This window comes from Homo sapiens, chromosome 2 (assembly GCF_000001405.40).
Source record: "Homo sapiens chromosome 2, GRCh38.p14 Primary Assembly".
In the NCBI taxonomy this organism is placed as follows: Eukaryota; Metazoa; Chordata; class Mammalia; order Primates; family Hominidae; genus Homo; species Homo sapiens.
The window spans coordinates 132,770,249-132,794,560 of NC_000002.12; the positions used below are offsets into that span (position 1 = coordinate 132,770,249).

Here is a 24,312-nt window from a genome sequence, read left to right on the forward strand (position 1 = left end):
AGGGCTTTTGATGACATTGTTGATCTGCTACACATCTCTTTCATGTTTGCCTTCCTCCAGTCTTTTAATTCTATAAGATGATTTTATTAATAATTAATATGAATACAACATATATTATATATTGTATATATTATATATTATAAATTGTATATATTATAACATATATAATAATATAGTATATATATAATATATGGTATATATACTATATATAATATTATAACATAATAACTTTATTATTTATGTAATGGATTGTCAGGCTTTTTTGTTGTCATTTACTTGTGGCCAGCAGTAGCTTATTCATATGGTTCTCCACCACTTTGAAGAGATACATCTGCAATGATCTGAACACCAAGTCAATTATCTATCAAAAACATGGTTCAAATGTACTTCCATTGGAGTAATCTAATGCAGCACCATCCAACAGAACACTGATGAGGGAAACATTCATAAAGAACACATATGTTTGTGTGATGAAGGAATATATGTGATCTATTTACGATATAGAACATACAGTCATGTACAACAAAATGAAGTGTTGGCCAATGACGAACTGCATACACAATGGTGATCCCTTAAGATTATAATGAAGCTGAAAAATTCCTATTGCCTAGTGACGTCGTAGTTAAACCATTGTAATGTCATAGTGTAACCCACTACTCATGTGTTGTGGTGATGCTGGTGTATAAAAAGCTATGTGCTTCCAGTCAGAGAAAAATCTAGCACATATAATGATGTATAGTACAGAATATTTGATAATGATAATAAGTGACTATTACTAGTTTATGTATGTACTACTATACTATACTTTTTACTGTTATTTTAGACTGTACCCCTTCCATTTAATAAAAAAAGTTAACAGCCTCAGGGAAATTCTTCAGGAGGTATCCAGAAGAAGACACTGTTATCACAGGAAATGACAGTCCTAGGTGTGTTATTGCTTCTGAAGATCTTCCAGTGGGAGAAGATGTGGAAGTGGAAGACAGTGATATTGATGATTCTGACCCTGCGGAGGCCTAGCTAATATGTGTGTTTGTGTCTTCGTTTTTAACAAAAAATTTAAAATGGGAAAAAAAATTTTTAATAGAAAAATCTTACAGAATAAGGATATAAAAATTATATTTTTGTGCAGCTCTACAATGTGTTTGTTTTAAGCTAAGTATTATCACAAAGTCAAAACGTTAAAAATTAATTGAAAAGTTTATAAAGTAAAAAAGTGACAGTAAGCTGAAGTTAATTTATTATTGAAGAAATTTTTTCCAATAAATTTAGTGTAGCCTAAGTGTACAGTGTTTATGAATTCTACAGTAGTGTAAGGTGATGTCCTGGGCCCTCCATTCACTCACCACTCACTAACTAACCCACCCAGAGCAACCTCCAGTTCTATAAGTGCCCTATACAGGTATATTGTTGTTTATCTTTGATGCTAATTGTTTTTTTTTTTTGAGACAGAGTCTCGCTCTGTCACCCAGGCTAGAGTGCATTGGCATGATCTCGGCTCACTGCAATCTCTGCCTCCCGGGTTCACACCGTTCTCCTGCCTCAGCCTCCTGAGTAGCTGGGACTACAGGCACCCACAACCACGCCCGGCTAATTTTTTTTTTTTTTTTTTTTTTTTTGTATTTTTAGTAGAGACAGGGTTTCACCGTGTTAGCCAGAATGGTCTCAATCTCCTGACCTCGTGATCCACCTGCCTTGGCCTCCCAAAGTGCTGGGATTACAGGTGTGAGCCACTGCACCAGGCCGATACTCGTATTTTTTTTAACCTTACCTTTTCTATGTTTAGCTCTGGGTAGATAGACAAATACTTACCATTGTGTTTTAATTGCCTGCAATATTCAGTACAGTAACATGCTGTACAGGCTCGTAGCCTAGGACCAACAGGCTATATCATATAGCCTAGGTATGTAGTAGGCTATACCATCTAGGTTTGTGTAAGTACACTCTTTGATACTTGCACAACCTTGAAATTGCCGAATGACACATTTCTCAGGACATATTCCTGTCACCAAGCAACCCATGACTGTACAGAAGACAGGGCCACTGAAAATTCAAAATGTGGCTACTGTTATTGAGGAAGTAAATTTTTAATTTTATCTTGCTTCATTAATTTAAATTGAAACAGCCAACATGTGGCTGGTGGTTATGGCATCAAGCAGCACAGATACAAAGAATTGCTACCTACTAAAAAATATTTGAAGAGATTCCTGTAGTTCTCTTAGGAAAAATTCAGCTTGTAACTTTATATATATTATTTCACAGGCCCAAGAACACCTCGTTATAGAAAAATGATGACTCAGCAGGGCTTTGCACAATGTCATGTTTGAAGGCTGTTAAACAATATTTAACTCGAATATTAGCTAACTAGGCAGAACTGATACCAATTTAAGCATTTTACATTGACAACTATAATAAAGGATGTCCTTTTGGAATAATAATCTTATTCAGACTACACTCTTTCAGCTGTTTGTTAAGACTTTTGTGTTCCCAATTACGAATGAAAAGAATAATAATGGCATGCCAGTCTCATTAAGCCACGGGGGTAAAACAACTCTCTCAGACAAACTATAAATTATCATTTGCACAAGACCGCTGAGTATGCTAGAAAATCAGCCACAAAGTGTGCCAACATGGCGCCGAATAGTGGGAGACTGAGAGTAGGCAGCTAAAGATGCTCCCAGTGAAAGGAGAGGAGAAATGGATACTGATTATACTGGACACTGGGGATCTGTGGGGCCGTCATATACTGGAGCATGGTATTCAGTACTGTCTCCTACACCCAAATGTGACTTGCGGAAGTGATTCCATGATGCCTCAGTGTCTTGTGTCGAGCTAAATAGTCAGCACACTCACATTCATGGCTATATTTAGAGCCTGAGGAACAACCACTTCTTCAAGTGTCCAGGGTGGCCTGGAGGAGCTAAAGGTGCCACTTCTTCTATCTCTTGACAAGGAATGCAGTCACAGGCAAGTTCTCCATCACTGGTTACCTCCAAGCTGCTGTAAAGAGGTCAGCAAAGTTCCTGCGTGCTGGGAACTTGAGTTCCTTCAAGGTTATGTACAATTTTAAGACGTGGCTGACAAGCTGAACTTATTTCAGAGACAGGACTATCTATATTCTGAGTTTTAACAGAAATGATGTAAAAAGAGAGTTGAGAGTTTTGGCAAACCGTATTTTCTTATTCTATATTTGCTACTACGTGTAAAACATTCAATTTATAAAATATTTCATTTAAGAAAGCCACCACCTACACTTCTAACCACTAGGTGTTCTTGAGATAATTATAGAAACTGGATTACTCAGTATCACTTTCATTTCATATTGACAAATACTTCTCATCAGTTTGCTTTGCATTCTTTTGGAAATACCTGTTTTCCTCATAGGTGCTGCTTTGACCCACTTATTTTATGGTAACGTCCAATGTCTAAGGAGATAATGGCAACCATGTGTGAATAGTTAACACTCAGTCTTGATAGAGGGACATGGTCTCTAGGAATGTACCATATCTGGAAGAAGGATACATTTAGAATAAGTCTCCATAAAAGACATATGAATATGTGAATTTTTACCTATGATGTGGCTCTGAAATACAGAATCTGCAACTGCATCGTCTTCATCCTCTTGCAAGTTTTCATTTGCCTCTTTTACCTGCAGGAAGAAGAAAATGATGCAAGTTCTTATTTGTTTTATTAAAAAGATCCTTTTGCAATCCTCAGAGTAATGGTACATTCTATAACAAATATGTGGGCATAGGTGTGAGTGTTTGCATGTATATACATGTGTGAGTATGTATGTATACATATAAAATACATTTTTTTCGTTCTACTTTTCCGCACTCCATCATTTGGCTTTATTACAAGTTTTAATTATAAGAGCTTATTTTCAGACATATAACCTCATTTCTGAAGGAGAGAATTTACAGGGTATCTAATTCTACACAAAATTTTAGAGATAACAGCTTAGCTTGTTAATAATTAATGAAATCAGTAACACAGGGCTGTTAGGAAACGTTAAAGTCTAACGAGGTATAATTCCTCCAGAGTCAGTGACTTCCACTGCAAGTTATTTTAATAGGAATAAAAATATATACTTTAAATATACTTAGGTCTGCTGGCTCTTTCCTGGAATGTAACTTAAGAAGATAATTTTTTTTCATTCTTTCCATAATCAAAGGAGATGACAATGATGTATGTATGATCAGTGAACCAGAGCAGTGAGTCATTTATCTAGATATTTTTTTTTGAGCCAAAAACATTCCCTCTTATATTTCAGTTGGAAGGCCCAGGCACTAGATTGGGCAGCATCAGATGGAACTCTACACAGAATTTAATGAAGTTCCAGTATTTTACAGATGAGAATTCTGAGGTCTAGGAAGTCTCCTTAAAGTTGGCACAAATGCAGTAAGTGGCAACACTGGCATGAAAGCCCAGGCCCCCTACTTCCCAATCCAGTAGCAGGAGAAGTAATAGCATCATCAGCAATACCAACCACAATAGAAACAGTGAACACTTACATACTGGGCAGGTGCTGTTTGCACGTAAGATCTCAAAATCCTTACAACAGTGCTATGAAGCAGGTGCTATGGTTAGCTTTATTTTAGAGATGAAGACCCATCCCAAAGCAATAGAGAAGGTAATTGTCAAAATGGTGGCACTGGGATTTAAACGCAACAAATCTGACTCCGGATTTGTGTTTACTGGGGGGACCTTTGGTATTCTCAAATTTTCCACTTGAATATGCCTGTGTAGACTTGGACTCAGTATCAAGACAACTTAGGGTTCTAGAGGTAATGGCGCTACATAGCTCTTTTAAAATACATTCCAGACAGCCACCTAGGCAGCCAATGATAATAACGTGCAATGCAATGGGTGTCCCGCTTAGGCACGTACGTTAGAGGTTGCCAGTGGATTTGCTACAGGGCTTGAGTTGAATGCCAAGAAATTATTATTTTATACTGTCAATGTGAAAGTCATATGGCTGAATACTGACCTTGAGCTGGATTTAGCTTTCTACTTTTTGCCTCCTATTTTTCATACTTAATGGAATAAGACCAATTATTTACATTTTATGACTGCAGTTTCAATATTAGAATGTAATTGGTGCTTAATCTGTACCATGCTGATAGCCAGAGATGGCAAACTCAAGAGAGTATGTAAATGGCTAACTCAACACTGGCAAGGACAGATCGTTAAGCGTTCAGTATCAAGAGGCCATGCTTCATCACTTTCTTTCCCCTTCAGCTGTCTAATCTGTGGGCATTTCCCTGTTTGTTAGCAGCTCCACAGAAAGAAAGTCAGAGAATGAAAGAAAGCAGGAAAAAAGGGTTTCATTAACTGACCGTGTTCTAGCAGCACATATTTACAGATGGCAGGGAGGAAACACACTGTGAGTATGAGAAAGACCAAAGTACTACTTATTTGCCTTCCAAGGTTCTCTTTGCTCAGGGATCTGTTTGTAACAAGGTGACCCAAAGGCCCCCAAACACCTCAGTTTCCATTAATAATCCACTGGGAGCCTTTTATCCTCTTTTATAGAACAACAAGGAAATCATATTTTCAGTTTCATATCAGCTCTTATGGCAATATGTCCCATATTTCTTGCACCTGTTAATGTAAAATAGTATTTCCTTTGGGTTTTTCCAAATTTATACATTTTAAACTCGCAGGGGTGCCCTCGAAACCTGTTGGACTGTCAGTAAATCATCATCTCTGCTGGCCTGTGAAATTCTAGATGAAAGAATCAAATAATTAGAACAAAGTTTTCATCTTACAGATAAAGAAAAAGGAGCTTCAGAGAGGGTTAATAATTTATTCAAAGTCATACAGAATTTCAGTTATAGAACAGGCACTCCTGATTCCTATTCATTGCTATAATTCAATTTTTCAGAGTGCCCTGTCCTGTTACAGCTATCCTTTCCAGACCTTCCAAAGAACTACTCTTTCTTAGTGTCTACCATTTAGATATGAAGGCAATATTCCAAGTATCCATAAACTATATTTTAAGAGTAGTAAACATTTTTCATGCATGTGTGTGTGTATAATTCTCTGCTTCCCTTCCCTACTGTTCCTTACCTGTTCCGTGCCCCTTCTCCACCTCCTTTCTCTAATTATCATATTTAAGAAAGAAAACAAAAGCGACTGCACAGTCCTACCTGTCAGCTCCTTGCCAGAGGCATTCCAGGGCCTTATGTGCTTAACCGCAAACACTAAATGTGGCCTCTGGGGACTTATGAGAAGAACTGAGATGGTGAACAAGCCCCCTGGCTCTTTCAGCTCTCCTGGGCTGGATGACCCATGAGGGGCAGATGACTCACTGGGGGAAATTGTGAACTTGATGGGAATGGATGAAGAAGCAGCAAGAAAATGGAAAGTGGGAGAGTGCTTTAGAGTGCCATACTTGTCAATTCTAATTATCCATACAAATAGATTTCAATGCAAAGTGGTGAGTAATTAAAAAAAATCCATTTGCCTATGGAAATGAGGGGCATAATTTATTTTGGCAGCAGATTCCCCTTGCTAATTATATTTTTCATAGGATGAAATTTAAATTAATTTTCATTCTTGATCCCATAGGAGCTGGATGTTGGTGGGAAGTTGTGGGAGTTTTCCCGGGAGTAAGAGGGCTGCCAGGTCAAGCATTTGCCAAAAATAGGCACAAGTGGGACAGTCTCCATGTGGGAAAGCACTGCAAAGAATGGGAGAGTGAACACAAAACCAAGAAGTCTGCCAAACGTTTGGTTCAGAAAAGATGTAGAAATGTAGAAATGTCCCAGTCACTGTTGCCATCCCAGGAACAGAAACAAGTCCATGTCAGTTATGTCCTATTTGGTAAAAAGTAGAAGGTGACTCACAAGCAACAACCATGGGCCATTTTTGGTTTAAGTTACTTGTCAGTGCTTTGGGTGTCTTCTAATGATTTATCTCTAACTCTTGTCCATCTTTTGGGGCTCTGCAGTTCTAGTTAGGAACTACTCCAAACACCAGTCTGCAACAGGCAACAATTAAATATCACTGCACTTCTATTTTATTCACCCCTGTTTCTAGGAAGGGCAGGAAGAAATGTGCCTACAAGAGACACAGGGGGAAAAGGGGAGAAAATAATTCACCATTGACATAATTGATATAATTTCATAATTAAACCCAATTTTATATCAATTCACCATTGATATAATTTCATAATTAAACCCAAATTTGAGAACATCCTTCATTTGGAGTTCTATATATATTTCTTCCCTGAATCATCCTAACACTAACGGCTTCCCAAGAAACCAACATTTTGATGTCAAAGCTCATTTGAAAAGGAAAAGAACATAAGTGAGACAGGAAATAATCCTGGGAGAGAAAGTTCCTGGAAAGCATAACCTTTGGAAAAGTTACTAATTTAGAAAACTTTGCAGGCGGAGGGCAAAATATGCATGTTTCTTATTAGCACCAAAATACCATTTAGAATAGAATTTTTCAATTAAGGATGTTAAAATTGTAACATTTCGCAGAACTTAATAAGATGATAACAATTTGTGTAATTATTGTACTATTTTCTGCCATTTTATCACCGTGGTACCATTTTAATGGGATAGTATTTGATGCTTTTTTATTAGCAGACATGATTTTTTTTTTAGACTATGTGACACTGGGTAAAGAGAATACCCATAATTTAAATTAAAATACCCATACTAAAATGGTCATATTAAAATGGTTCACGATGAAGGTATATGATCTCATTAATTTTGTTAATGATTTTTATTTTTGTCCAGTGATAGTTAAATAGGAGCCTAGAGCTGTCTTTCTTTGAGACTTTTCATTTCAGAAAATTATCTAAATCTACAGGAAAGAAGAACTTGAAACATGTAGCAAGTATAGTGTACCTCTTTCTGACTTACTGACTTAATACCAAAGCAGTCTTTCTAGGAGATGCCTTTTCCCTATTTTATAATGATTTTATATAATTTAAATAAAAGTACCAAGTAACATGGCCCTTGTCTAAATTACACAAAAATTAGAGCTAAGTGGTCTATAAACAATGGCAGAAATGGGGATATAAGCTTCTAATTAAGGCTCTGAAATAAGAAAAAATTTAATTCAGACAAACATTAATAGGACTTTGAAACATATTTTAGAATGTTTCTAGCAATACTAAAAATGAATATGCAGTTACTAGTGAACTAAGCGGAGGTTTGCTACACATGTGGATTTGTTATATGTATGGAAATAATCTATTATTATTATATATTAGAATACTAAAAATGCCTTAGGACTCTCATAACTATATATAATCTTAGTTTGTAAAGAACAAAAGATGGTGGTATAGTACGTCATAAGGTTTCAAACAGTGGTTTTATTTAGAAAAAGAGTGTGATACGTAGTGCATTGCATATATACATTGTTTTCATCCAAAATAACTTCTATGAAAACAATTCTTTGCAACACAGTTTAAAATAAGCAGACAGTGAATTTACCTTGAGCCCTAGTGGGGGGAAATTCTCTTCAACTCTGAATTTTAAAAGGTTCATGGGTATTCACATCAATGTGCTGTGGTGTTAAAATACATCTCATTTTGCATCTAATCTCCTTCCTATATAGGCTGATAACATATAATAAATGAGTTTTCCCTCCTATTCTTGTACCAGTCACAAAGGAGTCTATAGCAACGTCCTTTGTGAAATTAGTAATTTTAGCCCAATCCATGCTGATGATTATGGAGATGAAACAAAAAGCACTGCATTTTACATTTAAAAAAATGACTAGCTGGTCAACTACCCAGGTTAATAACATTTCTCTGTATGGAAAAGCTTCTCAGCATGACTAATTTGTCTTTCAGCTAACTGGAAAAATCATCATATGGATTATGTATATGTGGGGTCGTTAGGGAATCTTTGTACTTCACAGAAAATAATTAGAGTGTTTCTTGCAGATATTCTGGAAAGACCAAAGGACCCTGTGAAAGACTGCAGATGAGAGAGGAAAAGCATGGCAAATAACCTTAGCATTAGGAAGTAATAAGAAAATAAAAATGAAATTGTGAAAGCCAAACATAAAGTCTTTTTGTTTTTTTGGTACTTCTGTACAGTGAAGATATACCCTAGGCTGTCAGGACCATATTAAATGGGTCATAGTTAAATTGAGTGCCTCTGATAAGGGGCTCTGCCAGGCTATCAAAGTTTTCCATCAGCTGGATTGAATTTCCAGCATATTGCACATTTTCACACATTCATTCTCTCTTCCTCCTTTCAGTGACACCACAAGGGCAGCCTTAGATATGCTTACAATTTGTGGTTTTATAATGCAGGGGACATCTGTGTTTTCAAAGAAGGGATGATACCATGGAAGCCAAGAGCAGAAATGGGATGAGGGAAAGAAAAAAAAAAAAAAAACTTTTGCAACGAACATAATCTGCATATAATTTTGGAGAGTTTGTAAAAAAGACCTTATGGCTCTGTAGAGTCAAGAGCTATTTGAATAAAAAAATTTAAACATCCATTTCTCTCAAATTAAAGTCTGTGAAACTTGAAGGAAATCTAAACATCAATAAGTATTTATAGCTAATAATTAATAACTAATAATGTCAACCATGGTCACTTTAAAATCTCCTCTACTCTTGAATGACCCCAGAAAATAATGCAGGGAAATATTTCAAGTTTTCCCTCAGAAAATTGTAGTATGTCCTATATTTTAATAATCTCTTTATTAGAGTACAAAAAGATATGGATATAGTAATTCCATAAAGAGAATATTTTGTGTTTAAGTGCTCTGGAACTTGCCAAAAGCAACAATGAATACTATTAAATTATTTACACAAGTACATGAAGAATGTACAGAGAGTAAGTGCAATTTAAGGTAATTTTAAAACAAAAATATTAACTGAAACTAGTACACCCCAGGAAAATATAAAAAATACTCTTTCATTTATTTTTTATTTATTTTTTTGAGAAGGAGTTTCGCTCTGTCGCCCAGGCTGGAGTGCAGTGGCACAATCTCGGCTCGCTGCAAGCTCTGCCTCCTGGGTTCATGCCATTCTCCTGCCTCAGCCTCCCAAGTCGCTGGGACTGCAGGCGCCCACCACCATGCCTGGCTAATTTTTTGTATTTTAATAGAGACGGGGTTTCACCGTGTTAGCCAGGATGGTCTCGATCTCCTGACCTTGTGATCCGCCCGCCTCAGCCTCCCAAAGTGCTGGGATTACAGGCGTGAGCCACCGCACCCGGCCTTATTTTTTAATTTTTAAAAAGAAGGCTACTCCCTGAGTTCTGGACCTCACAATAGACTAAATGATAGGGAGCCAAGTTCCAAAAAAGATTTCTTAGTCTTAATAGCCTCTGTCTAAGTTGCATGAATTGGACATACAACTTTCATAAAACATGAACAATGCTTAAATCAAATCATCAAAATAGGCAATACTCTCTTAAATTGTTTAGCACTTTTATTTTTAAAATCATGTTCATTCCTTTTTGGTGGCAGGTGATGTTAGAAATAATCATCAAAACAAATTTCCAGCCCAGTGGTGTAATTTGAAGATGATACCAGTAGCATCATTTGCCTGGACTCACTGCGATTATACTCAACGTTCTGAAAACAGCTGGGAAAAGCAGCATTTCCTGAGAGCCAGGCCCACTCGAGGTCCAGCTGCCAGCTCTCTGCTGCAGTTGTCACCAGGATTTCGCTCTCTTTTTACAAATCCTTTTTCACTGACCTTTTCTTTCCCCCAGTTGCAATCTCTTACCCATACATTTTCATTAGCAAACGGTAGAAAGACCCCAGCCAGAACATCTCAGATTGTAGCACTTGATACCAGGATGGTGGAGCACTTACCAGGGAGTCTTTTGGTACTTCCATATCGGCTTTGATTTTCATGTTTTTCTTGTGGTTTCCTTGAGTACTGATAGAGCTGCCGATGAGACAGGAGCCCTGAGAACTGCCCTTTAACACATTCCTGCAGGAAGCATTACTTGATCCACTTTCTGTCTGTGGAGCTGCTTTCTTATCAACTCTGCAGGTAGAAAGTGATTCCTCTGATAAGTTACCTTGCTCCTTCTTCAATCACTCTCCTTTTCCCAATCTTTTTAATATTTAAAGTAACCTCTTTGTAGCTCTTTGTCTTTAAACCTTTGACGGATAAGGGTTTCTCATGGGCCTTGATCAAATCTTCAAATATTCTAGTAGCATGTCAATTTAGATTTGACAATATCATAATGTATTTTTTATTTTTGTGATTTCTTGTGGAGAGGGGCAAAATAAAAACCACTGAAGAGTGATTATTAACTACATTTTTAGCTTAAGAGCAGCAAGAAATATAATTATTTCTGGAAAGTTTCCAAGTATATGTTTGCTAGGTATAATCAACGAAATCGGCATGCTTTAAAACGTATGTGTAATTTTCTTCCATTTCACGCCATCTGGGTACATTCATAGCTCCTAGTGTAGGTGGAATTGCTATCAACCCTGATAAAACTTACCATTCTTTAATTTCAAAGGCCATTGGTTTGGTTAACAAAGTAACATGGACTAAATGATCATTTTATTGCTAACTTTTATTTCATTGCTTAAATTCTGGCTAATGTATAAAAGACTGCTACTATTCATTTCTGCCTGTATGAAAAAACATGCTTGACTGGCCTTTAATGCACAGGAAGCAAACAACTCTTTTAAAGGTGGTGGAGGGACCCCTCTACATTGCTACCTGCTTTTCCAGTGAGTTACCTGTTCAAGAGTTCCGTCATGAAGGTGTCTTTCGTTGAACATGCAACAGGGCTGTGTCTATTCCTTGGTTCAATCTTCAGTTGGTTGTAAATGTCTTGTGGTGTTCTCCGATTATTTTTGCTTTGTAAACCGCCATCTGGATTATCTGCTGACTTGGTGTCCTTGATAAGCTCATTTTCTGTCTCACACTGTAGTTCAGGCTTCTTTTTCTCTTTTTTTCTTTCTGATTTTAGTTGTCTGTTTCCAAACCCCAAGACTTTTGCATCTTTCTTTTCTACTTTGGTTTTGGAGATGTCCATTTTCCTGCTACTCAGAGCTGGAAGTCTACTCTTCCGAAAACCAAACCAGCTGGCAAAAGAAGGCCCAGGCTTCTGCTTTGCTTCCACAGAGGTGGGCTTTGTTTGCACTTGGCCCTTTTCCACATTTTCCTGAATGCACAACATGACCTTTTCTTCGATTGTGGGTGAGAGGGGGGCTTCTGAACTCACAGCATCAGTCGCGGTTGCAGAGGCATCTGGATGCCTTCCAGAAGTTTCTAGCTTGGATGTACTGCTTGTTTCAAAAGTGCTTGGATGCTGAGTCCTCCCTGGGCTCTGCAGGGCTTCAGGGCAGTCTGTTGGGGTGGGTGGGCAACTGCGGCGGTCACTGCCTGGTTCCCCAAGTACAGCCACATTGGCACTGGGGCACTCTCCCTGGGTGAAGGCCTGCTGGTCTTCCTTTCCAGGTGGGATGAGGAGTCCCTCAGACTTTGGAGGGATCCTCAAAGGCAACTTACTTGGGCTCCCATGCTGACTGCTGAAGCTGCCTGAGCTCCCCAGGGAGCCCTTCCCGGAGGAGGGGTGCCCCGAGGGCCTCCCAACACTGGGGAGACTCTCCAACATGGGAGCAGAAGGGGCCTTGTTGGGAGAGCTTTCCGTGGAAGAGTTCTGCCGGGTAAGAGAATTGCCTCTCTCGGCGGTATTGGTAATGATCTGAGTGCGGACTTTGCCTGACCCTTCGATGGGGGGCGTAGAAGGCTTGTCTCCTGAGTGTGTACTGAAGCTGTGGCTGCGGGCTTTGGCGCCATTCATACCCAGAGCTGGTTTTAGGTGTGGTTTGCTGGAGGAAAGGGATCTTCTCATGGATCTATTATCTACCCCATCCCTTCCATCACTCCCAGGGATGCTACTTTCCAATGGCTCTTGTAGTGCTGTTTCCAGGGGAAGCCCATCAGCTAAACTGCCCTGTGCTTGTGAATCCGGTAGGGTCACATTTCTTTCACCCGCTGTGATCTCCATGCTTGCTGGATTCTTGGAGTCCTCTGGCTTAGACTTGTTCACAGCCACGGAACTTTTGGAGGCTTCATTTAAACTGTCTTTTTCATGTTTCCCTGGCACGGTGGAACTTTTCCTGAGCAGCTGGGGAGACTTCATGAGCACTTTGAGTCCCACTGGAAGGCGAGTTTTCAGTCCTTTCTCATGAGCACTTTGACAACCATGAGGGCTGTTATGGCTTTTGGCGGGTGATGAGGATGATGAGGAACTGCTGACCTGAGATGATGGTGACTCATTTACCCCTAAGAAGGAAGGCTTGGGGGGTGTGGAGGCGCTATCATTCAATTGTCCTTTTCTCCCTGGAGATACACTTTTGGAGGACGTCATTTCCAGTGGCTCATGGGTTGAAGGAGAGATCCTGGGAGTCTGTAATCCTATGTCCCTTTGTGGGGTCCCAAGTGTTTGGCGAGGAGAGGTTTTGGGGACACCTCTCTTCGGAGAGACCTTTGGAGGCCCCAGAGCCATTACGGTGAAGGAGCTGGAGGGGGCATGAGCAGGGCATCGGGTTTGAATGACTGCTTCTGGGGAGGGCATAGGGTGAGTGAAGATAGGCTTTTTGAAGGCCACAGAAGGTTTCTTCCTCTGCACTTCTGTCGTGGCCGGATTAGAAGAAATAACTGGAGCAGAAATTCCTTTCAGCAGCGGGGATTTGAATGGGGTCCTTGCTGTTTCACTGGGGACCCTGGTTTCGGACTTGGTGGATGAAGGTGCTGGTGAATAGTCATAGCTGGGCCTGGCCAGCAGGGAGACGGACCTGCCTGGAGGGGGCGGAGGGGAAGGGGATTTCACCCCTGCCTCCGGCCCAGAGCCACAGTGTTCATCCCTCGTGGGGGGCTCTCCACTGTCACTAGACTCAATGGCAGGCCTTGACCGTGACCCTGGAGTCTGACTCTTGGGGCACTGGACCCAGTCCCTCCTGCTGGGCATCCTGGAGCTGTGCGGAAGTTGGGCGGAATGTTTTGGAATGTGTGGATCTGATCGTAATTCAAAGAGGGGCCCTGAGCTCTCAGTCTTCATGAATCGTGAGAGTTTCCCAGGAGCTAAGGCTGGTGATTTTTCAAGAGTCACCAGGCCAGATGAAGGGAGTAGTGTGGTGGCTTCGGGCTCCATTAGTTTTGATTTCTGAGGTGAAGACTTGCCCCTGGGAGGTATTTTTGTCAGATTTTGCTTTTGATAGATGCCCATGGGTGCCGAAGACCTGGAATTACTCTGGCATGATATATTGTGTGTTGGTTTGACCAGCTTTTGCTGCTGAGGATTTTGTGTCACTGTCCTGGAGCTGAAAGATTCAGTGGACACCCTGGGAACATTATCTACATTATCTTTTGGAATGTTTTTCTCAGTGTCCTCTTCAGACCTTTTAAAGAAAGTATAGTCTCTTGCAGCAGCTCTTGGCTGTAAACAAGCAATTCCCTGAGGTAAAAGCTCAGTATGTTCTGCCTTGGGTCCAGCAGGAGTTGAATTGATGGAAATCTCATTTCTGGTAACAGTGACAACCCCAGTCTGGTGAGAGCTGAATTCAATGGGCTCACCGTCTTCCGCATCAAATATCACAGTCACACATTCTTCTGAAGAAGTCCTTTTTACAACTCTTTGCTGCTTAATGAAACTAAAAGTCTTTGGCCTAGTCTCTGAAGGGATGGGCACTTGTTTTTCCTCCTCTTCAGGAGACCCACATAGAGATTTTCCAAACCCCACAAGGACATCCAGGTTCTCCACGGACTTATCGGTGTCGGCAGCCAATGACACGTCTGAAGGACTTTTCTCATCACTGCTCTCTATGTGCAGCTCATCAAACGTTTCATTGTCATCAGTGTCTGAAAGCTGGAGGTTGAGAGCCATGCGGCCATGGCCTTGGCCCTGTGGGCCCCTCTCCCTCTGTACCTGAGGCGTCTGCACACTTGGGCACAGCTTCATCTCTAAGGGACAGCTGCTGGCGCAACTTGTCAGCTTTTCAGGCCTTTCCTTGGGATAAACTGAGGATGTGCCTTCCAGAAAGTGTTTTCTGTTTGTCTCCCAGCCAAACAGACTGTCGGAAACACTGTGGGTTAATTTACTGCCATGTGGCCTGCAGCTCTGGTTTGGAACTGCTTGGAGCAATGCTAAGGTGGAAGGGTCATCGTCCGCATCAACGTGGGAATCTAGATCATAAACAAATGTCTTGTGGGGTTCCTTGCAGGGGCTCCCCAGGTCAGCTGTTTTGCAGGGGGGATACTCCTTGAGGCTGCTACTTTTAATTCCAGGAGAATATATTCCTTCATTCGAGTTCATGCAATCTTTATAACCCCATTTGGTTATCACTGATGGGGGTTCAAGTAACACTTTTCGCTTCTGTAGCTTTCTTAGCCCTTCCAAAATGTGGCTTTCCTTGATACGAGTTGGAGGTAGTTCATTTGTAGGACTAGCAAAGCCACTTGGGAGCGAAGAATCAATACTTAGCCTTTTATCCCAGTTTTGTGATGATTGCTAGGAAAGAAAAGTAGACATCAGAAATGATTGAACCATGTAGATCACAAAGATATAAAAGGAAAAGTACATCATGGGACTTAATTTGTGCTAGTGGTTGGTAACTATTCACATATAAATGCCTACATTAATTAGCTAATTAATTTATTCACAAACTATGCAGCAAACATTGATTTTGCCAGGTCCTGTGCTAAGAAGCACAGCGATCTAAAGAAACAGAAGGTAAAGGCCCTGTCTTCATGGGAGGAATCCCAGTGGGGAGAGGAGAATTGGCCACAACTAACTGTATGTCAAGGGAGAAAATGGGAAGTGCAAATGTTGTAAGTACTCTGGAGATTCAGAGGAGGGAGGCCACAGACAGGTCTATTTGGAGAAAGGCATATAGGAAAGGTATATATATTTTTTTCTTTTAAACTTACCTAGCTCTTGAAAGACACATAGGTTTGCCGTAGGTTAAAAGTGGGGGAAATGTTTTCCAGGTGGGAGAAATGGGGTGGGCAAAGACCTAAGTCAGAAAGTACATTCAAGGTACATTGAGGGAATGACTAGAAGATGATATGGCCTTATTGCAGAGTGTCTACGAGAGGTGCAGAGGGTAAAGCTGGAAAAGTAAGTTGGTTGATATCTTTATGCTCACATTTGATAGTTCTGTGACTTCATAACTTTATTTGGTAGACAATAGATATCTATGAAAATTTTCTTAAGTTACTACACTCATACATATACACATACACACATACACAGCAGCTGGGCATTCGCTGTTAGAACCTGACAGTAATTATTCACCTACCAAATTTAGAAAGGTCAATTTCCTGCCCATCACCCTTCCCAAATGCCAGCCTCAGCTTTGGAAAAGTGTATGGGAAATGACATAGAGAAAAGGCTGTGCTCTACATATTCATATTTTTTTCATAGTATTGCTAATAAGAAATGGAAGGGGGAAAAAAAAAAGCTAACATTTACTGAGCCTCTGCTGTACACCAGCCATTTACAGGGTGCTTTCACTCCATCTTCAGAACAGACAACTGAGACTCATTGTTGGGTCTGTTGGAGATCACATAGAAAGAGCTGGAGCAAAGGTATGACCTCTGGTTTCTCAGGCTCTTTCTATAGTACGTCGGTTTTGACTCAGTTCAAAAGTGGCAGTGAGGGGACATGAACCCAGGCAGTCTGGCCCCAGAGCTTGCAGTCCTAACTGATGCTATATATAAAGCCAAGCTTAGCCCCTCTTCTCCCCTTTACCTTAGTCAGTGTCATAATAGAGATCACAGGTTACCCCACACTATTTCTTAAATGGTACTTGCAGAGTTTAGGGGGCTGACCTAATGATTTCTTAAGAAGGCTATATGGGCCAGGCGCAGTGGCTCACACCTGTAATCCCAGGACTTTGGGAGACCAAGGCAGGTGGATCAAAAGGTCAGGAGTTCGAGACTAGTCTGACCCATATGGTAAAACGCCATCTCTACTAAAAATACAAGAATTAGCTGTGCATGTTGGCGGGTGCCTGTAATCCCAGCTACTCAGGAGGCTAAGGCAGGAGAATCGCTTGAACCTGGGAGGCGGACATTGCAGTGAGCTGAGATTGCACCATTGCACTCCCTCCCAGGTGACAGAGCGAGACTCCGTTTCAAAAAAAAAAAAAAAAAAGGGCTATATGATTAATGGTAAAGAGCTTCAAGAGAAGGCTCTGGGTTTCAGAAATGCACTCTATACCAGTTTTGGCTACATCAGTCTCCTCCCTGCCCCACACGCTTATGTGCAGTGGTTGAAAAACATGTCAGAAACTTCCATTTGAATCTGGGCTTCTTAGTACACTGTAAACATTTGCTCACATCTATGGCATTTTCATGAAAATTACTCTTGCTATCAACAACGCACACATTTATTTGTTTTTAAATCAAATTATAAATTTTCTTTAGGAAATTCTCCACCGTCAGAAGTTGCTGGCAGTAGATGCTATTCAGTGATGCTGCCCCACTTCCTCTTCCCTGTACCATTACAAACTCCTTTAGAAATCAGAAGAAATCCCATTAGTGAATCTGGGTATTATAGCTCCACCAGAAAGGAGCTGCCACAGTGTAAGTTTCTAAGAATTTCCATGATCCTGATAGTCATGTTGACAATAAATAAGAGAAACCAAGCCAAAGTACCCCACAAGAGCTTGAAAAATGTGGATCTGTTTGACCCCCAAGAAGACATGCTCAACCTCTGTCTTGCCTCCTTTCTGCCATTCTGGAGCCTGCCAGGTGCTGCACTGCGACTTGCCCCAGAGCCAGTGGCTGCAAACCTCCCAGGGCCCAGGCTCTCTGCCTGGTGAGATTAGCCACATTCCTCCTTCAGTCCTCTATAGGAGGTTATAGTATCTAACAACTGGAGAAAAGTCTAGGCCAATCTTGAAGCTTGGGGGTAGGAGACACACGAATGCCCCGTGGGAGTGATGGTGGGGAGGAGCTGGCATTTCTCACAGGCAGATCCATCCTTTGCTGCGAAAGTTGGAAGAGAGTTGCTCTTGGGAAGCAGTGTGGTTGACTAAAAGATGCTGTTGCTGAGGTGCAGGCCTGTGTTTAATGTCCACAGTCCTCTTCCATTTCTTGACTGGACAAGAATCTTATATATATATATTTTTCTAAAGGGTCTTAATGGGAGCAAACTGATCTCAATAATTGAAGCAACCTCACCACGTTTCAGGCTGATTCAACAAGGCCAGTATAAAAGAACAATTAAGAATGTGGGTTCTGGAGCCTTCTGGCGCCTGGCTCTGCCATGTACTGCCTGTGGCATCTTGGTTCAGTTATTTAACTTCTTAGCACCTCAGTGTCCTCTTCTGTGAAATGGGGAGAATAGGAGAGCCTACTTAATAGGCGACTGGGAGCATTACATGATCTAAGGCTTCTGAAGTCCTTAAAAGGCTGTGCTGCATATGGTAATTTCTCATCGACTAGAGCCACATTCCTCTGTAGGGCAGGCTAGTGCATTTCATGCAGGCTTCCTTTCTGTTTGTACACAAGTAAAACATACTTGTGAGCTCAAAAAGCACAATCAATAATATATTAATTGTTATATAATTAATATTCAAATTCAAATTCATATGATACAAGTTTATTATGTAAGTTAATACTACATGAGTACCCAGCACAAAGTAAGAAACTGCAGAAAGTTTCTTAAGTAATACACATTTCAAATGTCTTCATGAATCTGGGTCTGGCTTGTTAGGTCCCTGAGAAACAAGACAGTTCACTGTGAGATATGACAGGTGTACTGGTACTCCATGACCATGACAGAGCCCTATTAAGGATCCAGAGAAGAGCCACCTGAGTGTCCATGAAGTGCCTTAAGAACCTTCTTTCTCCTCATTCAGGGGAGAGATTGCCTTAGAACATCAAAAGCTACTGTAATTGGAAGAATTCCAGCCAAAAATTAAAAGAAAGTGAAAAGCCTTTGAGAAGGAGAGAGACAAAGAGGTGTGAAAGTGAAAAGAGCAGAGCGAGGGGCTCTGGGAGCCAGGGATATTCACAAAGCGAGGAAACATCCCTGACCATCTGTCCAGTCTGTTCCAAACCAGGCTCAGAGCAGTCATTATTCAGAGCACCTAACAACTCCTTAGAGGGAGCAATTTTGATAATGCAGCAGGCTCTGTACTTTGCATTGGAAGTCTGAGTCCCAGGGAATAAGCCCTAAATGCAACCTTGAGATCTTCTGAGTTCTTGTTCAGAGGATGACAAAGCTACTCCCTCATCAATATCTCCTGGGAGTTCTGGATTTTTCTTGGTTTCTACACTGCTAAAACCATGAACTAAATTTATACAAATGGTAGAAAAATGACCTCCAAATACTCTGATCCGGGGTTTCTATTCTTGTGTGCTCTTTCCTTTTCTCCAACATTAGGGAATGGATAAAACAGCTATTTCAAATATTTCCCTTACATCAGTGTACAAAGACGTCTGCTCAAAGCACAAAGGTATCTCCAGCTTTGCGAGTCCACTGTGCAGATGGGAGTCATTCTAGTAGTAGTAATTATTAAAAATCCTGGTAAAGGAAATCTTGGCATGTATATAAGTAGAAATATGCCTACCTACACTGAAGTTGTGGTCTCTGTCATCTCACCACGCTGCCCTCCAATTTATAGTCAAATAGTGTTTTATGAGGCTATAGCATTGATGAAAGGATGTCAGTATAATACATGAGCAGGTGCTCAGCAAATGGTGGCTTCCTTCTTACCCCTCCCACCTGCCCTTCATCTCCATGACCAAATCCTACCAGAAGAGGATTCTTTTCTGGTTCATTCCGATGCCACAGTGCCTTACCCTTTTCCTGAGGTTCTTCCCATCGTGCCACGTGTAGGAGGAGCCACTGGAGTACTCGCTGCAGGTGCTTGAAAGAGACAGTTCACTGCTGCTACTGTAGCTGTTTCGAGGACAGAGATGACCAGGGATGACAGCCCCCAAGCCAGGGCATTTCAAGGCCGATTTTGTATTTAGTTGGTGTTCCTGAAAAAGCAGGACAGCTCTGAGCAAGGGCTTTGCTCAGAGGAGAGTAAATATCAACACAACCTTATGGTGAGGTAGATGGGAATACAGATGCTCCTCAACTTATGGCAGGAGTACATCCTGATAAACCCATGGTAACTGGAAAATCAGCTGAAAATGTACTCAGTACACCTAACGCACAGAACATCACAGCTCAGCCCAGCCTACACTTACATTAGCCTACGGTTGGGCAAAGTCATCTAACACAAAGCCTATTTTATAATAAACTGTTGAATATCTCATGTAATTTATTGAATACTGTGCTGAAAATGAACATCAGAATGGTTGTATGGGTGCTCACAGTACAGTATCTACTGAATGTGTATTTTGGCTCCATCACAAAGTTAAAAAATCCTGTCGAACTACCCTAAGCTGCAGATTGTCTGTATGGTATGGTATGATAATTACGGGCAGACTTTGGAGTCAAATTTGGGCTCAGATCCTGGCTCTGCCTCTTCCTGTGTGGCTATGGGGAAACTATTTACTCTCTTTCTTCAAAGGAAATCATGATACTATTGCTTATCTTATAGGGTTATTGCAAGCACTAAACGAGGGTCTAGTTGTGAAGCACATCACAGCATCTGGCCTCTAGTAGGTGCTCAATTATTATAAGCTGCCATCATTATTAGGCAAAAGTACCACAAGGGTGGTCTTATTTTATCTAGCCATACTGGTGAGAATATCAAATCAGTATCAAAACATGACTCGAATGCTACAAAAGGACGAAGATAGAGTCACATCTTTGACTACAGGCTTCAAAAGCATGTAAACTGGCTGTGAGTCTAGTGGTCTGGATCCCGGGCTACCCACTGCCACTAAGCATGCACTCTTGAGCAAGGAAGACTTCTAACTTCTGTGGTCTTTAATGTCCTCTTTATAGAGGGTGCCGCTGTCTGAGATTTCTGCTACACTTTCCTCTGGTTCTGATGGCATCATACTAAGTCCACAACCAGATGCCCATTGCCTATCTGTGCTACCTCACAGGAAGCCAAGCACAGCAGACACGAAACTCAGGTATAATGAGCCTCCACTGTAAATATAATAGTGCTTTTCATATCCAGTCCTTGTTACCATTTGGCTATCCACATGGTAATAACCCTCACATCAGGTAGGTCTGGGTTTTTAGTGGAAGGTTCAAGCTGTTAGAATTCTAGTGGTTCTTCATAAGGCAAGGGTGACAAATAAAGCTGTAAACCTCCAAACACATCTTGACAGCCACATTATAGGCCCCTCGTGTAACAGATGAAGCTCTACAAACTGGACAGGCTAAATTAATTTACATCCCAACCACTGAGAACAGAATCTCTCTATTGCCGTCTAATTCCAGTCTCCTTTTTATATAAAGCTTTGTCTCAGAAACTCTTTGATGGTAAGCCATCTGTCTTTGTGTCACTTGCAGAGTGGCAAAGCCTTTTACTTATACAATTTATTGACACTTTGTGGGTGCCTTTCAGTACCTGAGTACTTATCACCATTCTCCAAATGCAATTCCAACTGACGGTGACTAAACACCAGCTTGGGAAAGGAAGGTAATGATGATCCTACAGTACTTGTGGTAAATATTAAACTCCTACATCAGTACACAGGGCATGTTTAATTTACTCTCTAATCAATACCTATAATGCTCAATTCCCAGTTCTCTTTTAATGAATAAGCAGCCCTGCCCACTCATGTCCATGTGTATACCTCCTGTATAGATGTTGGGGTAAGATGACAGGAAAGTAGGACTCAGAAGATGGGCTGGAGTGAGAAGGAATTGCTGCTTCTCCCTTGGCCTTGAACTTGAGATGCTCTGTTTTGTTTTGTTTTGTTTTGTTTTGTTTTTCAGATGGAGTTTCACTCTTGTTGCCCAGGCTGGAGTGCAATGGCATGATCTCAGCTCTTAATAACATTAGATTTTCAGTATTAGGCATCTGCCTTACTATCAATACTTCATTTTTGCTGCATAGCAATCTCTTTAAGTGATCTAAAAATGCCAAGAAATTTTACTATCCTATTTCTTCCCCCTGAAATTTGGCTCTACATATTATTGAAAGGAGAAACTTGTCTTAAAATCAGGCTTTCAGCAATATCTACTGATTTATGAACTTGTTTATTGCCGGACGTAACTTAGTTAAGGGGAGTTCATATTTGTATCTCCACAGATGCCTACAACAAATGGTTGTGTCGCAGAGCAGCAACTGCCATTTCAGCCTCAGCCACTGTTGGCACCTGGAATGTGCACTGAACAAACTTTCAGAAATATCTCATCAGGCTTCACTTCTACTGTGTGCTTTCTGTTTTCTCCTGTCTGTCCTCTCATATTTTGTTGTTTAAATACGCAGTGTGGTGGTTGTTATTTAGGACTGCCTCTGCTCTGACAGATGTGTCTACTCTACAGAGAGAGAGAGAGACTGTGTCTATTGTCCCACCAGGCTGTCCAGATCCAAACTCCAATGACCTTTCTGCACTCTGCCTGGCTATTGGTTACAGTTTACATTCTACCTTCTCCCAAGGTATTGAGGGAGGCTTGCATGCAATTCTCTGTCCTTCCCGCCTGTTCTTCCTACTACTTCTATTAAAATTATACCTATTTTTACAACTCAATTCCCAGGTCTCTTTTAATGAATAAGCAGCCCTGCCCACTCATGTCCATGTGTTTACCTCCTGTATAGATGTTGGGTTAAGATGACAGGAAAGTAGGACTCAGAAGATGGGCTGGAGTGAGAAGGAATTGCTGCTTCTCCCTTGGCCTTGAACTTGAGATGCTCTGTTTTGTTTTGTTTTGTTTTGTTTTTCAGACGGAGTTTCACTCTTGTTGCCCAGGCTGGAGTGCAATGGCATGATCTCAGCTCACTGCAACCTCTGCCTTGCCTCCCAGGTTCAAGTGATTCTCCTGCCTCAGCCTTCCAAGTAGCTGGCATTACAGGCATGTGCCACCACACCTGGCTAATTTTGTATTTTTAGTAGAGATGGGGTTTCTCCATGTTGGTCAGGCTGGTCTCAAACCCTCAACTGAGGCAGGTGATCCACCTTAGTTTCCCAAAGTGCTGGGATTACAGGTGTGAGCCACCGTGCCCAGCCGAGATGCCCTGATGTGATGGCAGATACTTGAGGGAGGTGGAGAAGGCCTGTGAATGTCATGTGGGAGCAGGCAGGGGCAAAGATGGTTAAGCAGAGAGGTGTCCTCTAAGACAGGCTTTTCACACTTTAACGTGAACTGAATCACCAAGGGATCTTGTTAAAATGCAGATTCTGATTCGGTAATTCTGAGGTAGGACCTGAGATGTATGTAGTATTTTTAACAAGTTCCCAGGTGCTTCAATGCTGCTATTCTGTGACCCATGCTTTGCGCAGCAAGCCTCTAGGAGAAGCTATTAAAGAAGTCAGTCTCTTATGTGAGTTCCCTAGCAGCACGTTGTGGTACCTCACTGTCTGACATGGGCTGTGCTAAGCCAGGCAAAGGGAATGGCTGAGCCTGCCTGCCAGCAGGCACGTAAGTTAAGGAGAGTGTCTGTGTAGGTGTACGTGTAGCGGTAGTTACAGAGTAATTCCTTGCAAAGAAGAGGAGGCGGCCACTCTTTTCTACTGGGAAATTCTCCCACTTCCCCCACCTTGGAAAATCAATGTTTGAATTTAATAAGGGATGCGGAATCCCTGACATCCTGGCTGCAAAGTGAGCTTTTTTTCCCCTACAGTTTCCTTCGTCAGCATGTGATTATCACATAGGATTATCTACTGCAGTAAATAACTGTTCTGTGGTTGAGCACTTGAACTCCAAGGCCATTTATGAGGTTTAAACTCTGGCTTTCACTTGCTAGCTCTGTGAGCTTGGGAAAATTACTGAACCCCTCTGTGACTCAGTTTCTTTCTTTGTAAATGGAGATCATGAAAGTAGTTACTATGTGGGATCATTGTGAAGACTGAACAGCCCCTGACAAACGCTGGTGCTTAGGGACTTTTACCTGGGTGTTGCTACTATTATTAAAAATGTTTATACATATATATATATATATATATATATATATATATATATATATAGAGAGAGAGAGAGAGAGAGAGAGAGAGAGAGAGAGAGAGAGAGGGTGGCGGGAAGAGAGAGAGAAAGAGAGAGAGACAGAGACAGAGGCCAGGCACAGTGGCTCACACCTGTAATCCCAGCACTTTGGGAGGCCAAGGTGGGTGGATTGACTGAGGTCAGGAGTTTGAGACCAGTCAGGCCAACATGGTGAAACCCCGTCTCTACTAAAAAATACAAAAAATTTAGCCAGGCATGGTGGTGTGCACCTGTAATCCCAGCTACCTGGGAGGCTGAGGCAGGGGAATTGCTTGAATCA

The 24,312-nt window shown here is 41.2% G+C and overlaps 1 protein-coding gene across 20 annotated transcripts in view; it reads right to left on the reverse strand.

Annotated features, from left to right (window-relative positions):
* The window catches only part of NCKAP5 (NCK associated protein 5), a 1,003,049-nt gene that overhangs the window by 98,461 nt on the left and 880,276 nt on the right, over nucleotides 1-24,312 (reverse strand). For 16 of the 20 annotated variants that reach the window (XM_017003975.3, XM_011511100.4, XM_005263660.5 and 13 more), the window contains 4 exons: nucleotides 19,775-19,957; nucleotides 11,692-15,470; nucleotides 10,804-10,981; nucleotides 3,568-3,646 (listed from right to left, as the gene is read on the reverse strand). In XM_017003975.3, coding sequence (XP_016859464.1) covers nucleotides 3,568-3,646; nucleotides 10,804-10,981; nucleotides 11,692-15,470; nucleotides 19,775-19,957 — 4,219 coding nt within the window. The remainder of the gene's footprint in view (nucleotides 1-3,567; nucleotides 3,647-10,803; nucleotides 10,982-11,691; nucleotides 15,471-19,774; nucleotides 19,958-24,312) is intronic. The other 4 variants (XM_047444134.1, XM_047444133.1, XM_017003979.3 and 1 more) reach the window with 1 other exon arrangement.